This window comes from Homo sapiens, chromosome 1 (genome assembly GCF_000001405.40).
Source record: "Homo sapiens chromosome 1, GRCh38.p14 Primary Assembly".
Taxonomy (NCBI): Eukaryota; Metazoa; Chordata; class Mammalia; order Primates; family Hominidae; genus Homo; species Homo sapiens.
Genome location: NC_000001.11, coordinates 151,928,317 through 151,946,559, shown reverse-complemented (window position 1 = coordinate 151,946,559; position 18,243 = coordinate 151,928,317). Strand labels below are relative to the sequence as shown.

Sequence of the window (18,243 nt, the reverse complement as noted above, 5' to 3'; positions counted from 1 at the left end):
GTAGTCAATGAGAATTGAGCAATATTAATCATAACTAACCACTTGAGGTGTATGACACACCTCAGGAGGCAACATGTAACCACTTCTCAGCATGCTTGAGGCAGGTTTACTGACTTCAACCAGCACGAAATTTCAGAGGAGTCATGTAAGGTATAGATCCTCCATCCTGAAATTACGTTGCCTATAGTTGTTCAAACACTTCCTGCTGAAAAGTTTAGGATAATGCTGAATAATATGTTTCAGATGCCTTACTTATGGACAATGAATATGTGCAAAGACACGGGATGGAAGAAAGTCACAAAAATCCTTTCACTAGCTTTAGTTGTGTCAACGCTTCACAGGAAAACAGAACTGATTTTATCAGAACTTAGTTGGAAGTTTTTTATATAAGCGGAAGAGCAAAAGGGAATCTACTGTATCGCTCCCTCTACCCAGAGGAAGGAAATAGAAAATGTCCACACAACAAATGGACCAAGTGTATAACAAAACCCTCAGCCCCAAGGTGTCTCTGATGTACTGCAGGAACCAAGGCAGTCTCCCAATTCAACTATTATTGGCCTGTCCCTTTTAATTGAAAGCAGTTGCCCTTTCCCCACCCATCCCTGAGTATGACTCATTAACTGCCCCCGGGCCAAGTGTTTTACAAAATACTCTGCATCACCATGGCAACAGCCCAGCATCTGCCCTCACGTAGGGTGTGGCTAGAGTAAGTACTACCGCTTTTTTGTTTGTTTGTTTCTGTTTGTTATAAATTGGAAACTTTAATCACAGGAAGAGGCTGTTTGGCACCCGAGAGCTGTCACATAGCAGTGCAAGAAGTAAAGAGAAAAAGGGGAGAGCCAAAATAACATAATTACTTCTTCACAGCTAGGATATGTCTCTACCAGATTACACTGAACTACCTGAGGATGACTGGAAACAGAGATAGTGGTAATTATTAAGGTCTTACTATGAGGCACTCTTAGTCTTCAATTATCATTATTCCTATTTTAAAGATGAAGAAACTGAGATACCCAGAGCTTAATGTTATGTGTCTGGTGAGTAACAGGGCCAGGATTCAAGCCATGCAGTCTTCTTCCAGGGACCCACACCCTTAACCATTATGTCTGATGACCTCGGGTTATAGGAAAGGAAGAGCCTCACAAGTTATTGATGGATTTTGTTCATTTGTTTGTTTCTGCTGACTATAGTTAAATTATATCAAGGCTTTAAAGACTAAAACAGGATGGATTTCTAATTTGACAGTTAACTGCTAAGGGAGCAAAAACTGAATTGTGTAGTGGAGACCTGGCTACCAAGATGGACATGTTCCAGTCACAGGCATAGAGAAAGTTCTCTGTTTGGTGCCCATCAACTTAAGTCCTTCCTTATACCTGGCAGTGTCACCATCTTTCACAGTCACAGATTCTGCCACTTTGGCCAGGCGTCTCATTAGTCCCACCCCTCATCACAAAAGAGTCTACTGGGGACAGGTCAGCACAAACCCACCAACGTGACCAGAAGCATAACTCACAGAACCTATCCTGCTGGCAGAGGGGAGCAAGGGCACCAAGGACAGCCTCATCCCCTGGAGAAATGTCCTCATTTGCCAGGATGCCTCATTGGCTGCTTGAATTGGTTGGACTCAGGAAGTCTATTAGCTCTGAGTCCAGAGCTGTTGTTTGAGACTCAAGATGAAAAAGGAGGCAATTTCTACATTTATCTAATGCACAGCTAAGAGTGGAGGTTGGGTGAACCTGATTTCAAAAGCAAACTGAGTATTAAATTTCACCACTTTTTAAAGCGCTGACGTGATGTAAGGATGCTGTCATTGTTGGCTAACAATTTTCTTAGGTCTAATTTGGGTCATTAAAGGTGACATGAAGCTCCTCTGGGCTCACAGCATTGTGCTGTAAGCACTGTAGCTATGCTGTGTCACAACGCAAAAGCATCGTGCCACAGTAAGCAAGTGTGATAGGTTTTGTCACCACATTAGGTCTGCCTTGGAGAGGTCAGCAAAACGTGCTTGCCAGAAATTCATCTTATCATCAGAGTACAACCTTCAGGCTGCCTGGATCTATGCCCCACCTCTGCCATTTACTAGCTGTGTGACTGGGCAGTTACTTTCCCTCTCTGTCCTTTGGTTTCCTTACTTGTAACAGGGACAGAAAAATATTTCCTACTTTTAGGGCTGCTGTGAGGATCAAAGAAGTTAATTCATGCCAACTGCTTGTAAGAGTTCCTGGCATGTTTTGCCACACACTTCAATCTTGGATTAAAGAACTTGCCATTCAGTTGAACTTACGGTATTTCTGCCTGAGCGCCCCTCAGCCTGCCCTCTGAAATAGGGTATGTAGGGAATATCAGTTTGCTTACTTACTGGGACACTGCTATATACAAAGCCATGTTTATCTAATTCTTCTCTATTTTGCTCATGTACAGTTTTTCTAAGTATTTACAAGCAAAGGGACCTCACCAGAATTTTGGAGGCTTAACAGGGCTAAGTCAAGCATGATTACTTTTAAAAATAATTCTGGGCCAGGCACAGTGGTTCATGCCTGTAATCTCAGCACTTCGGGAGGCTGAGGTGGGAGGATCACATAAGACCAGGAGTTCAAGACCAGCCTGGCCAACATAGCAAAACCCCACCTCTATAAAAATTTAGAAAATAAAAATAAAAAAGAAATTCTGATCACAGTTCCAACCAAGCACCTGTATCATGTTCAAAACAGGGAGTCAGATGGACTTCAGCAAAACAAACCATAAAGCCACATTATTTGCAATAAATTCACTAGTGCAGGGATGAATGATTCTGTGGAATGAGACCTAATTCCTGTTGATTTAATTCACAACTCCCTTCAGAGAGAGGGGTATAGGCAGCCATCAACCTCCTCATTGTCCCTTGGAAATTTCTAAAAAGGAAGGACGTAGGGTAATAGTCTGGGAAGAGATGTGGCACTTGGGCACTTGTCTTGCCCCTCATTTGCAATGGCAAAAAAACCACTATTTTACTTGGAATGAATATTTATTGGGGAGTGGGGTGTCTTTGTGGGAGTAAGGGGCTGAAGTCCCCCAAATTGCTACTTGGTTCTTGCCACTTTGCTCATTCCCTACTAAATGACAGAGTGTTTAGTTAAATCAAATATTTACCTTAATTATGTTTTAAGATTATTTTGAGAATTTCAAACATTCCTATTCTTCCCTTCCCCAAATAAGATCAACGAGGCATCCTTGGAGTATTTTAAAATTAGACTTTTCTAGATGTATTAGAAAAAGGAAAAGACAAACCATAGAAACGTTGTTTGACCAGAGCCATCTTCCTGATTCAAGGACTTCCTTTTGAGTATGTAACTGAATGCCCTGATATGACAGGCATGAAAACACATTCTTGTTCACTAGCTTGAAACATTTCTGATGAATGGGCCTAAATGTTTCCGGTGAATGGCTAAGATTACTGATGCTCTACTTCAGTTACAGGAGTTCTTAGATGATGTGGTTAGTAATGCTCAGTATTGGGTTCTTGCTTTTCTATCTCCTCCACATGAGAAGGACTTGACCCCTGCTGGCTCTTATCATTGCTATGTGCAGTTATTGGGTAAGATGTTCTGTGTGCCAGGCACCAGTCAGTTCAAATGCCTTTGAGCTGCTGATCACAAGTACTTAAAGAGAGAATGCCCTTGGAGGTAATCCCTACCCAGTTCCTATCTATTGTGGCCATATAGGAAAGAGGGCAGAGGATTTTTAGACCTTCCCACAGTTTCAAGAGAAGCCAAAAATTCAGGTTGTTATAAGAAATCTCCTGAATTTAAGGTAGGCAAATTACTAAAATGTTTTTAAAGAACTACATGGGCCGGGCGCAGTGGCTTGCGCTTGTAATCCCAGCACTTTGGGAGGCCGAGGCGGGAGAATCACGAAGTTAGGAGTTTGAGACCAGCCTGGCCAACACAGTGAAACCCCATCTCTATTAAAAATACAAAAATTAGCCGGGTGTGGTGGCATGCACCTGAAGTCCCAGCTACTCAGGAGGCTAAGGCGGGAGAATCACTTGAAACCAGGAGGTGGAGGTTGCAGTGATCCGAGACTGCGCCATTGCACTCCAGCCTGGGCGACAGAGTGAGACTCTGTCTCAAAATAAATAAATAAGAACTGCATGGACGACCAAGCATGTAGAGACCCCTAATTCATAAACTCTAGCCACTGATGGCACCCCCTGCACATTTGCTTCAGACCTTTAAAGTTGGGTGACCTTGGAGCACACGTGATCTTTACTGCTTGTTCCATCCAATCACTTGCCTTGGGTACCCAATGTTCTTGTTGTTGTACACCCATCCTCTCATTTCATTCTCCACACCTACAACACTATGAGTTAGGAACTAGTGTTATCTGCCTTTACAGATAAGAAAACTGAGTCTTGAGGAGCTTAACTAATTTACGTAAAGTCACACAGAAAACACACAGCAGGGTTTTGTCCTGGGGGAGCCCTCTGTTCTGAGCAGGGAGTTCCCTATTTCCTCCAGCCCTAATGTCCTAGGATTCCACTGAGCCCGCCTCTCAGAGTAGGGAACTAAAACATCCAAGTTCAGTGTGGTCAGGTGTCTTCCACTCAAAATATGAAATTTATTTAATTATTCTCCTTTAATAAGGGACAGCAGTGTTGAAATTTTGCCCATAAATATCTAAAAATAGTAATTTTAAGAGCTATTAGAAGTGTTTTCATGCCATGGGTTCGAATTCCTAACTTGCAGAACTTGGCAAAAGAGTGCTATGAGTGGATGCCAAACACAAAGGAGGAGTGTGGGCAAAGGTATGACATAAGGACTATGGGATTTTTGTTGCCCTGTTACAGTAGTGAGAACTAGAGGCTGCAAAAAGAGGTGGAAAAATCTCTGTGGGCATTCACCAGAGCCAGTTTTTAAGGATTACTTAGAACAGTGTATAGTTACCAAGCAACTGTAACCAAGTTACTATATTAGTGGTGAAAATACAATACATACACTTACACAATCTTTCCAATGAATGGCTCCTGACTCATTTTCACCAGTCCTTACTGTCATCATTCACAGACCTGGAGCAGCTATGATATTGTCATTTCTTCCAGTGAGCCAGACAGGGGAAGAAATACTATGAGAGAGAGAGAGAGACTGTGTGTGCGTGTGTGTGTGTGTGTGTATGTGTGTGTGTGTGTGTGTGTTTAAGTGAGAAACAGGCAGGGCAGCTAGAAAGGGAGTCAAATGACCTTGAAAAAGACTGTGTGTGTATGTGTGCGTGTGTGTGTGTGAGAGAGAGAGAGAGAGAGAGAGACAGGCAGGGCAGCTAGAAAGGGAGTCAAATGACCTTGACCGATTTCCCCAGCAACAGGCTTAGTCAGATTCACTTAGGATACACTAATAAATTTTATTTAAATCACTGTATTTTTGGGGAACTGATTCAGGACTGCCCAGCTTCTACCATAACAGAGTGGGGTGCAATGGTTACTTACACAGGCTCTGGCACCAAACTGCCTAGGTTTGAATTCTGATTTCTTTACTTACTAGCTTTGATTTCATGGATGAGTTACTTAACCTCAATGAGTTTTAATTCCCCCATCAGTAAATTGGGAATAATAATAGACTCTAGACTATAGGGTTTTTGTGAGGATTAAATGAGTTAAAACAGACAAAATGTTTAGAAGAGCATATAACACATAACTAGTGGTCAACAAATGTCAACTTTATTATTGTCATCTCTCCTAATGAAAATCCCAGGTAACTCAAAAATGCTGACCCACTGACCAATGATTCTCAACCGGGATGATTTCACTTCTAGAATGAGTCTTAATTTTTTTTGGTTGTCACAATGACTGGCAGGCACTGCCAGCATTTTCTGGGTAGTGTTAGGGTTACATATTAGATGTTCTGCAATCCATGGGTCAGGGCAATGGTAAACTGCCCCCATGTCCTACACAACTTTATAAATCCTCTCAGTCTTTATGTAAGTAAAAACACTGTTTATGATTATCTGAACCTGGAGCCTAATTTCATTTTACATATAAACACAAAGCATTTTTGTACAGCATAAATATTACCAAATTTTCCAGGAATGCAACTGTCATGTAAATCAAGTAAAACTAAACTTCATGTTGTTTGGAATGTTCCCAAGAGTTGTTCACATTTTGTAAAATTAGATAACTAACAACAAATCTGATTTGCCAGCATAATTAATCTGTATCATCCAGTACCTGTAGTTATTGCAATCACAGTGATTCTGTGTGTACTTGCAAGAGTCTTATTCCATCATTATGTCTTCTAAGTAGCTATGTTTGAGAAATTACATATTGGAATTAACAGCATTTTTTTTTTAGGTTATAATAGCCATATTCTTTATTACTTTATTGAGATATAATTTACATGCCATAAAGTTTACCCTTAAAATATACAAGTCAGTGGTTTTAATAATATTCACAAAGTGGTACAATCATCATCACTTTCTTGAAATTAACAGCATTTTATCATAAATTACTTCCCTTTTATTTCTCATTTACATGACCATTTGGTTTTTTAAGTTAGGCAAGTATATGCTACATTATCTGTGAACTTCATTTCAGGAGAGCAAAGGGAGCATTACAAAATGTTTGCTACAAAAAGAGGATGTTGGACCATTATGATGGAAGGACATACTTACAGAGCCCACGTTGTAAAGGGAATTCAAGGCTGGGAGCAGCAGCTCAGCCTGTAATCCCAGTACTTTGGGAGGCTGAGATGGGAGAACTGCTTGAGCTCAGAAGTTCAAAACCAGCCTGAGCAAAATAGTGAGTCTTCATCTCTACTAAAAATAAAAAAAATTAGCCAGGCATGGTGGCACAGGCCTGTAGTCCCAACTACTCAAGAGGCTGAGGCAAGAGGATCACTTGAGCCTGAGGAAGTCAAGTTTGCAGTAAGCTATTACTGTGCCACTGCACTTCAGCCTGGGTGATACAGCAAGACTCCATCTCAAATAAATAAATAAATAAATAGGACATTCATTAATTGCCAGATTGTACAAACAGGTAAATTCCTTTTTTTGAGACAGAGTCTTGCTCTGTGGCCCAGGCTGAAGCGCAGTGGCACAGTCACAGCTCACTGCAGCTTCAACCTTCCAGGCTCATGTGATCTTCCTACCTCAGGCCCCTGAGTAGCTGAGACTACAGGCACATGCCACTACACCCAGCTAATTTTTGTATTTTTTGTTGAGTCATGTTTCACCATGTTGCTCAGGTTGGTCTCAAACTCCTGGGCTCAAGTGACCCACCAACCTTGACCTCCCAAAGTGTTGAGATTGCAGCCGTAAGCAACTGGGCCTGGCCAGCTAAATTCTTTAACTAGTAAAATGATGTTAAAAATGTCAACTATGTTAGTACTCGATGAGGAAGGCAGAATAATGCCCCCTGCCCTGCAAAGATGTCCATGTCCTAATCCCCAGAACCTATGAGTATATGAGGGTACATGGCAAAAGGGAGCTAAGGTTACAGATAGAATTAAAGTTGCTAATCAAATGACCTTGCAATAGGAATTATCTAGGTGTGCCCAATGTAGTCACAAGAGTCCTTAGAAGTAGAAAGGAGAGGCAGAAGAGTGAGAGCCAGAGGAAGATGTGATTATGAAAGTATGGCACAGAGAGATGCAATGTTGCTGGTTTTGAAGATGGAAGGAGACACTAGCCAAGAAATGTGGGTGGTCTCTAAAAGCTAGAAAAGGTGAGGAAACAAGTTTTTCCATGGAGCCTCCAGAAAGGAACATAGTCCTGCTGACACCTTGATTTTAGTCCAGTGAAACCCAGTTTGGACTTCTAATCTACAGAACTGTAACATAATAATATATTTGTGCTGTTTTTCTTTTTTATTTTTAAATTAATTTTTTTTTTGAGACAGGGTCTTGCTGTGTTGCTCAAACTGGAGTGCAGTGGTGCAATCAAGGCTCACTACAGCCTTAACCTCCCAGGCTCAATTGATCCTCCCACCTCAGCCTCCAAAGTAGCTGAAACTACAGGCACATACCACCATATCCTGCTAATTTTTTTTTCTTTTTTGTAGAGGCTGGGTCTCGCCATGTTGCCCAGGCTGATTCTGAAATCTTGGGCTCAAGCAATCCTCCCTCCTCAGCCTCCCAAAGTGCTGGGATTACAGGTGTGAGCCACCGCACCAGGCCCATGTTGTTTAAACTACTAAATTTATGGTAATTTGTTACAGCAGCAATAAAGAACCAATATACCTGAAATAAACATATATGAAAAAATCAGAATTCGGAAAACACACACACACTGCCTGAAGCTGAATTTAAATAGATAAACAGATGAAGAGTGTGGAGCTGTGGTGACTCAAAATGAACAAGCCATGAGCTTCAAGTCCATGACGAGCAAAAAGGACAAAAAAAAAATTTTTAATGGACAAGGCTCAGGAGACCCCAGTCCTAGGCCCATCTCCACAACAAACTTGCTATATGAAGTTATGAGTCAATTATCTCTCTGGGCCTCACATTTTCTCATTCAGGTAAAAAATATTTACAGAACGCCTAGTACTAACTGGGCTTGGGGCTTGGCTTTCTACAGACAAAGAACAAGACATTGTCCTTGGTCTCAAGGAGTTTCTGTCACTCTGGAAGAAAAAGTCTCTGAGGTCTCACTCAGCTTTAATAGTCTGTGATTCCATTAATCTAAATAAAATTTAATGCTTCATACCTTTTATGTATGTGTGTGAGGTTGCCTGAGTTCATAATTTTTTTAGATTGCTGGGAACAGTTTTGTGAAATCAGACCACTGGAAAATTTTCTCTAAAACAGCAAAAGAAATCACAATCGCAATTTCTCTTAATTTAATTTCCATGTTAAACTTTCCTTTTCTCTAAGTTATAAGTATTGCTGTTACTTTTTTTTTTTTTTTTTTTTGAGACAGAGTTTCGCTCTTGTTGCCCAGGCTAGAGTGCAATGGCACGATCTTGATCACCACAACCTCCGCCTCCCAGGTTCAAGCGATTCTCCTGCCTCAGCCTCCCTAGTAGCTGGGATTACAGGCACGTGCCAGCACGCCTGGCTAATTTTGTATTTTTAGTAGAGATGGGGTTTCTCCATGTTGGTCAGGCTGGTCTCGAACTCCCGACCTCAGGTGATCCGCCCGCCTCGGCCTCCCAAAGTGCTGGGATTACAGGCATGAGCCACTGCGCCTGGCCGTATTGCTGTTACTTTCAATTACATTTTATTTTAATTCATTTCTCCCCCAAGCCCCCCAAAATTAGTGAGTACCTATTAGCACTCTCTTCTCTTGGTAGTAATTACATTTTTATAATATTAGTGCTGCTAATATTATCAGTTACCTTCAGTTTACATGTATAGAGACAATTTTAAAACAGTATATTTTAAATTTAAAATTTACATTTTAGGAATATATTTAGACACTTAAAAATAAAGGAAATAATCTTAAGAGGGAAAAAAGACAGGGGGGAGGGTGGATTATAAGAAATAAAGAAGCTTAGTTAAAGTAAGAAGCAAATTATAATTATAGTGGACAGTGTTAGGAAGAAAAGAAAGGGAAACGTGATAGGGAAACAGCAGGGAGGAAATTGAGACATCTCCTCTCTCCATCTGGAAGTTTCCCTTTGTCTTACTCCTACCCTTCATCCCCCAACAGAGGGCTATCCCTATCACCGTGCCCTTTGGCCCTATTGAACTGTGCTAAAGATAAATGAGTCGCAAGCTTCAGGGGGTGTCTGATGCTCCCTGCGGGACCTCAAGGCTACTTGCTTTCTTTTACTTAACGAAGCTTATCAGACCATGTTTGACCTTCATATAGAAACCTGGGTCTAACAATGAGAGAGTAAGTACAGGTTTCAACAGTTGTATTGTTGCGCGATTTTTAAGGAATTAGAGAGACTGATGGGGTTTAGAAGGATATTTATTAACTATTTAGGTGTATTGGCCCAGTCGGATTAATATTTAAAGGACTGAGTTTTGAATAAAGAGTTATTTTTTAAGTATTTTTGGGGGCAGGGGGAGATTTGTGCAGGGGGAAGCATATTATAGAAGAGAGAAACAAAGGCAGTTATTTAGTTAATTGAGACGTATTATATTATTTTTTATTTTTTAAGGAGAAACATGTTTTATGACTTGAGTTTGTTTAGTGACTTTGTAGTTGTATAGCTAGGGAAACAGGGTTTTTACAATGTTTGGGAAAGGAGGAGAGATAAGGCTTATTGGCCACAGAAAAACAGGCAGTTAATTTTTAAAGGACTCCAGCTCTTTCTCTTTCTCAGGGGGAATTGGGTTTTTTAATATACAACTGAGTTTTTGCTTATACACTCCTTAATTTCTTTTAATTCCTGTTCCAGTATGTTTCTGGGAATGATAATGAGATTAGCTTTGGCACTCTCCATATTTATTGAGAGATTTCACCAACATGTATAAAAGACTGGTAGTGTAGTTTGCTGTGATTTAGTTAAAAAGCATGAAACTTGTCAGAGAGATTTTGGTTTTAATTCCTGCTCCATAACTTACTAGTTGTGTGATCTTGGGAAAGCTCATAAATCTCTTGGAGCTGTTTCCTCACGTTTAAAAATGGAGGTATCTAAATAGATGTGTGAGAATTAAATGACATTATGGGTATAAAATGTCTCTCTTTCTTTTACCTTTAAACTCTGTTGAACTTGAAAAAAGTGGCTCATTTAATATCTAGTACTGGGAGCTCCTCAGTAAGTGGTTGCTTTTATTACCTCATTCCAAAGAGAAAAATATATTGTGGCCAGGCACGGTGGCTCACGCCTGTAATCCCAACACTTTGGGAGGCTGAGGCAGGCAGATTGCTTGAGCTCAGGAGTTCGAGACCAGCCTGGGCAACATGTCAAAACCCCGTCTCTACAAAAAATACAAAAATTAGTTGGGCATGTTGGTGTGCGCCTAGCTACTTGGGGAACTAAGGCGAGAAGATTGCTTGAGCCTGGGAGGTCGAGGCTGCAGTGAGTTATGTTCATGCCACTGCACTCCAGCCTGGGTGCGAGACCGTCTCAAGGAAAAAAAAAATTGTTAAGTGCTCTACAACCCTTGTGATACCAGAAACCAAGGGAATATAAGTAATAGTCTTGTGATAATCTCCCGTTCTTTATTCTCCCCACTTTGTTTTCCCCAGCCCTCTCCATGATGAAGATGGCTGCAGTTTCCGTGGTTTCTGCTATGGAATGAAAAATCCTACAGGCAGAGCCCATGCTTCCTGCAGCTGCCAGCTCTGCCCTGCCTCCTTCCCCTCCCAGCTCCCCTGTGAGAAGCACTATCCTCAGAATGACTCAACCTCATTTTCCAGGAGGGTCTTAGAACTCATTGTACTTTTTTCTTGCAACCGTAAATTTTCTGCAGTTTGTTCACCTAAAGACTTTTCACATGACAGGTTTCTATGTCTTAGAACCTACTTTCTCTGATCCTAATCCCACTCAGGGGAGGACACAAATATTGCACTTCAGTCACTTTTAATGTGTCTGCTGTACAATACCACCTGGCAGAGTACCCAAAAAGCAACAACTCAAAATCTAGCCCACCAGATATTCCATGAGATTTGATGGTGATGAGCACTGCAGTCCAGGGTTCAAGGAAAGCTAGGATGGGTATTCCTCATGGTAATTTCTGAGCAACTTTGAGTCACTCAACGTATTTCATTGTCTTCTAGGCGTATTTAGTCTTTCTATTGAATGTAAGAACTGGACAGAGAGGTGGGGAGCATCTTATCGCTCACTTTGCAAAAGAGGAAACAGCTCTGAGGTCTCATTTTACGTATCTATTGACTATTTTATACTCAGTTTGGAAACAAAATGATAAATAATAGAGCAATCTATCACTTTGTAAAATCTAGAAGACTAAGCTTTGAAGTTCTTCCAAGTCCCTAATTAGATAATAGTCATCACTTAAAGAATAAACTGTTAGGTATTGAGATAGATATAACCTGTTCATTTATTGACGAATATCAGCCTAAAAGTTTACCAGGAAATAATTTAAAATGTATAAAATCTTCCTAATTACTCAAAGGAAATTTATAATAGTCAAAAATTTTACCTACTAACCAAAAATCCAGAAGATTCAGGACAAAAATAAATGGAAGAATAGATAATTATCTAAATACACTTGTGGAGGTCAGAATAATGGGCCCCCAAAAAGGTCCAAGTAAGTCTCTGGAGTCTGTGAATACGTTACCACACATGGCAAAAGGGATTTGCAGATGTGATTAAGTAAGGATCTTGAGATGGGAAGATTATCCTGGATTACATGGGCAGGCCCAATGTAATAACAAGGGTGTAGGGTGCAAGGAAGAAAGGTGCGGAAGAGTTACAGAAAATGGGACGACAGAAGCAGAGGTAGTTTTACAATTGCTGGCTGAGGGACCAAGCCAAAGAATGTGGGCTCCCTCTAGAGGCTGGAAAAAGGAAGAAAACAGATTCTTCCCTAGAGCCTCTAGGAGTACAGCTCTGCTGACACCTAGATTTCAGCCCCCTGAGACCCACTTCAAATTTCTGACCTCCAGAACTGTAAAATAATAAATTTGTGTTGCTTTAAGCCATTAAGTTTGTAATAATTGTTATAGCAACAAGAGGAAACTTATACACACTCTTTTGGCTCTTTCGGGTTAATGTGCAGTTTTGGTGACAACATACTGATCAAAATTGTCAACAAATTATGTGATCTCCCCCTTGTGTATAGTCAGTGGTATTATAAGGTAATTTCAAAAGAAATGGAAGAAAAAAGTTTTTTAAATAAATGGAAAACAGTTACTATTAATATAGTCTGATTGGAAAGGTTAAAACCACTTGGAAAGGTTAAAACTTTATGGAACATATAGCTGCAAACAGTTCCACACAAAAACAAAAACAAAAAAGGCTACAAGAAATCTGGTGCTATTCCCAATGCCTTTCTACACTAGCTGGTGAAATGTCACAGTTGTCAGTGGACTATTACCCATGTTTAAAGCCCATCTCTCCTCTTGCAGAGAACCCAGACTTAGAATCTCAAGCAAAACAATGGCTTGCATTTGAGAAAGAATGTCTAATAAGAAAACATTTATATTGTTGGTGCTGCCTCTCAATATCTATCAAAAAACTTTATGCAAGATTATCTGAAGTATATATAAGTCACAGTACATGTTTCTCTGAGGCCAGATTACCAGAAAGCTGAATAACTGTACTATATTGTTTTGCCCCCTCTGCTGGGTCGCCTCCATTCCCTTTGAATTTCTTTCACTGAAATTTGATGCCATCAGCTTAATTAAGAGACATTACATGGTTTAGCCCTGTGAGACTTTTGTTGTCTTTACAGTTAGGATTCTTTGAGGTTGTTATTTGTTGTATTACATAGAATCCCCTCCATGAAAACCCTTGCATAAATCCATGTGTTAAGGTGTCTGTACCAGAAACAGGTAAGCCGCTTCTAAGCAGAGGGTCATTCTTCTTTTTAACGCTCACAGAAATATAATACACATGGCACTACACAGCTGTCAAAAGCTATGGAACTATACAACAAAAAGAATGAGCCCTAATGTAAGTTAAGGACTTTGGTTAAAATATCACTGCTGGCTCATCAATTGTAATAAATGCACTACACTAACGCATGACATTGATAATAGAAGAAGCTGTTTGGGTTTGAAGAGGGTAGGGGTAAATAGTAATTCTCTGTACTTACTACTCAGTTTCTCTGTGAAACTAAAACTGCTCTAAAAAATAAAGTCTATTAATTTAAACATATATATGTATATATATATACACATATATATGTATATATATACACAAAAGCATATATACATATATATGTGTGTGTATATATATATATATATATATATATATATATATATATATATATGCACACACAAAAAGCAAAGTACACTGTAGCATAGTAGATTCTGGGAAGATGGCAGCAGCAGGGGCAACAGCATAGGTGTTCAATCTTTCCTAATCCTAACACAAAAACAAACGAGCAACTTGCTATTGTCTGAATGTTAGTGACTCCCCTGCCCCCAAAATCCACATATAGAAAACTAACTCCCAAGGTGATGATATTAACAGGTAGGGCCTTTGGGAAAGGATTCTATCATGAGGGTTCTGCCCTTGTGGGTAGGATTAGTGCCCTTGTAAAAGAAGCTCAAGAGAGCCTGTTCACCCCTTCTGCCATGTGAGGACACATGGAAGGCACTACCTATGAAGAACAGGCCCTCTCTAGTCACTGAGTCTGCCAGTGCCTTGACCTTGAACCTCTCAGCCTCCACAACTGTGAGAAATAAATTTCTGTTGTTGGTAAATTACTCTCTCTAAGGTATTTTGTCATAGCAGCCTGAACAGGCTAAGTCTCAACTAGATAGCAAAACCAAACCCTACAGACATTTACAAAAAAACAAATGACAAAGTATTCCCACGAGCCTCAAAATACAAACAAGTGGGGACAAACCAGCAGTCACAAAACTTGCATGGTTTCTGCATCAGTGTGTGAGGAAGAAGAATGAAGAAATGGAGACAGTGTCTGATGGACCTGAGAACTCTCCAACAGTAATAGGTATGGAAGACACAGCTGAAAAGGGAAAGATCTGATCTCTCCAATAGGAGGTAAGTACAAGAGGCCCACAGTAAGGACTTAAGAGGGCTGGAGCAGTCTGGCCCCTATGAACTCAAAATTCATTTGCCAAGGCTCCCTTCCAAGACAGGGACCCATGCTAGGGAGAAACTACAGGGAATGCAGTTTTTAAAAATGAGGAGTACAAGGACAAGAGAGATGATCCAAAGAGAAGGTCTTTATCCAAGTTAAAGAGAACAGCCTGGAATCTCAGAAAGCAAGCTTCCACGCCAGACGCGGTGGCTCACACATGTAATCCCACCACTTTGGGAGGCTGAGGGTGGGTGGATCACTTGAGGTTAGGCATTCAAGACTATCCTGACCAACATGGTGAAGCCCCTTCTCTACCAAAAATGCAAAAATTAGGTGGGCGTGATGGCACACACCTGTAATCCCAGCTACTCAGGAGGCTGCGGCAGGAGAATCTCTTGAACCCAGGAGGTGGAGGTTGCAGTGAGCCGAGATCATGCCACTGCACTCCAGCCTGGGTGACAGAGTGAGACTCCATCTCAAAAAAGAATAAAATAAATCAAATAAATAAATTATCTTGTGAAAGTTATGCCAAATAGTAGAATGGCTCTAGATTACTAACTGGCTAAACAGAAAAGTATCTGTGCAGTTGCTGGCACTTCTTGTTGCCCTTGGAGAAATACATAGAGTATTATAAAGACTCAGTTATAGGGGATTAATAAACAGGCTGCTTGGTTAAAGTGAGTAGACTATTAATCTAACTCATTATTTGATCTATTTGATTTTAGTTGGTTTGGTTCATGGGGACCCTGGCTAAGGAGCATACACCAAACTCTTGGCATTATCCTTTTGATAGTCATAATAGTAGTCTCCCCGGTCTGCCGTATTCCCTCAAAACTTTTAGATATTTGCATGCAGCCATCTCTAGAGTGTTAAATGGTCTCTCTTCCACTAGAATGAGAAGAGCTGAGAGAAATGTGTGACCATGAGGGCACTGTAACCTATGAATGACATGCTGAGAATGAAAACCCAAAATGATGGTAACTGAGAGTAGCGTTAAGGCTCTAAGTTTTGGTTATACTCTCACCTAAGGGAGAACCTGACCAAAAGCGGGGAGTTTTTAAACAAAATTATGAGTGGCCATTGTTTTGGACTGAGCTCAGGCTCTAGGCCCCAACAAACCAGATCAAACCAAAGTGGAATAATTCATGCTAAATGTGACACATCAAACTAAGACTTTAAGAAACAGATAGATCCTAAAACAGACCAAGTTTTATTTTTCTCCTGTAAACAGAAGATTCCAGCATGAGGAGGTATCCTCTACTCTAACCCTTACCAAAAAAATAATCTGAAGTTCTTGTTCCCACCTTACAAAACCCACTGGTCTGCTATTTATCAGTGGGTTTGAAGACCAAATAAGTACATTTATGATGGTGACAATGACTAAAGTTTTGGTCAATTTCTCAAAATTGAGAAGATGACCAAAATAAGGAAACTGTTAAATCAAGTTTAGCCTAAAGCTGCCTCCTTCCATATTTTAAGTTCTCCCTAAAAGTTTCTCTGTACACAGTATACTATAACCTAAATGGAGGTTAAACAGATTGTAACCTACTCTCCTGACAATCACAGAGTTTTGGCCAAAGGTGGCCAACTGTTCAAACTGTGTTTAAATTAGGCAACACTGAGCTGTAACCAATCCAGCTATTTCTGTACCTCACTTTTGTTTTGTGTATATCATGTTCCTTTTTCTGTCTATAAATCTTTCACCATGTGTCTCTGCTAGAGTCTCTGAGCCTACTGTCAACAAAAAATCAAACTCTGTAAAATATTTGAAGAGTTTTATTCTGAGCAAAATGTGACCGACCATGGCCTGTGACACAACCCTTAAGAGACGCTAAGAACATGTGCCCCAGGTGGTCAGGGCGCAGCTTGATTTTATACATTTTAGGGAGATTTTAAACTACTGGAGAGAATTTTCAGATTAAATACCAAATTAATGTTACCAAAGACGATCAAGGCCATGTGAATTAAAAGGCATCTGAGCTAGCTTCTAGCAGTCTGATAAGTGCTTACTTTTTTAAAGTCAACTAACTAGAACTCTTTCACATAGTTTGGTAGTGAAATATCACTTCCACATGACCCATATAACATACAGATATAACAGGCATACAGAATAAAAAAGGCAAGTCCAAAAGATTTTTCATTTGCTTGTTTTCCAAAAAAAATTATGTCCCTTACTTTAGATTACTAATTAAAAAAAGAAAAGTTACAGGGGCCAACAAAAGGTGAAGAAGAGACCAGGTACAGTGGCTCACACCTGTAATCCTAGCACTTTGGGAGGCCGACGCCGGCGGATCACTTGAGCTCAGGAGTTCTAGACCAGCCTGGCCAACATAGTAAAACCCCATCTCTACTAAAAACACACACACACACACACACACAAAAATAGTGGGGCATGGTGGCACATGCATGTAATCCCAACTACTTGGGAGGCTGAGACACAAGAATTGCTTGAACCCAGGAGGCAGAGGTTTCAGTGAACCAAGATCATGCCACTGACTGGGCAACAGAGTGAGAGTCCATCTCAAAAAAAAGGTAAAGAAGAGAGTTACCTCCCAGGCCTTTTCAAAAGAGAGAAAGAGCTAAACTTCTGATATAATAATCTGAAGAATTTCAAAGAGACAGATTACAGAATTTAAAAATTAAAAACTTCTTGCATTAAGAGTAAATCAATATTTTTAATAAAATCTTGTTCTAACCAATTCTTCAGTTTTGTATTTGTGTATTTTAATATCAAAATCTCATCTCTAGAAAGTCTATTATATTTAACTATCACCAACTGAATTATATAACCTTTTTTAAAAATAAATTCCTTTTTTTACTATCCTTATTTACAACTTACATAGGCCATTCATAGCATGCTTCAACTTTATGGCTTGTCCTAAACACCTCTCTTTCTGGAGCAACCAGTTATCTTGTTTTAGTACAAAAAAATTCACCACATAAGATACTTTCTCATATAAAATCACTTTTCATTTAAACTTTCTTAGCCAAAATACCTCCTTATATCTATAAATTTACATTTCTCTTACTTCCTGGTTCCTTTTACTTTGTTTTATATATAAACTTTAAATAATCTTTGAATTGGCTGGGCGCGGTGGCTCACGCCGGTAATCCCAGCACTTTGGGAGGCCAAGGCAGGTGGATCACAAGGTCAGGAGATCGAGACCATCCTGTGAATGGTGAAACCCTGTCTCTACTAAAAATACAAAAAATTAGCCGGGTGTGGTGGCGGGCGCCTGTAGTCCCAGCTACTTGGGAGGCTGAGGCGGGAGAATGGCATGAACCCAGGAGGCAGAGCTTGCAGTGAGCCGAGATTGTGCCACTGCACTCCAGCCTGGGTGACAGAGCGAGACTCTGCCTCAAAAAAAAAAAAAAAAAACCTTTGAATTAGACAAAAAATATTTACCTTTAATAACAACACTTTTTAAAATGTTTTCCTATAATGTTTAAATTGGAAATTATACATTTAATTAATATTTAATATAATCTTAGATTCTAAATTATGACAAATTTGTTTACAAGCATTTATTCCATTACACTTACCTGATTAAATTATTTGATAGTTTACCTATATTATTTATGAAAACTGTGACAGTCATTATTTAAAGTTATTTCCCTGTTAATCATTTTTATAACCTATTAATTTCAGCCA

General features: G+C 39.9%; 1 long non-coding RNA gene across 1 annotated transcript in view, besides 3 other annotated features; it reads left to right on the top strand.

Moving 5' to 3' along the window:
* Positions 1–18,243, top strand: part of LOC124904421 (uncharacterized) — a 31,359-nt gene that overhangs the window by 7,077 nt on the left and 6,039 nt on the right. The window lies entirely within an intron of this gene.
* Positions 351–886: an enhancer, noted in NCBI's record as "OCT4-NANOG hESC enhancer chr1:151918150-151918685 (GRCh37/hg19 assembly coordinates)". NCBI's record gives its function as "activates a minimal SCP1, AML or CMV promoter by ChIP-STARR-seq in primed H9 embryonic stem cells {active_cell/tissue: H9 hESC(primed)}" and the evidence as "EXISTENCE:reporter gene assay evidence [ECO:0000049][PMID:30033119]".
* Positions 9,337–9,982: an enhancer, noted in NCBI's record as "OCT4-NANOG hESC enhancer chr1:151909054-151909699 (GRCh37/hg19 assembly coordinates)". NCBI's record gives its function as "activates a minimal SCP1, AML or CMV promoter by ChIP-STARR-seq in naive H9 embryonic stem cells {active_cell/tissue: H9 hESC(naive)}" and the evidence as "EXISTENCE:reporter gene assay evidence [ECO:0000049][PMID:30033119]".
* Positions 16,122–16,171: a silencer, noted in NCBI's record as "silent region_1331". NCBI's record gives its function as "represses an Ori minimal core promoter by ATAC-STARR-seq in GM12878 lymphoblastoid cells {active_cell/tissue: GM12878}" and the evidence as "EXISTENCE:reporter gene assay evidence [ECO:0000049][PMID:35858748]".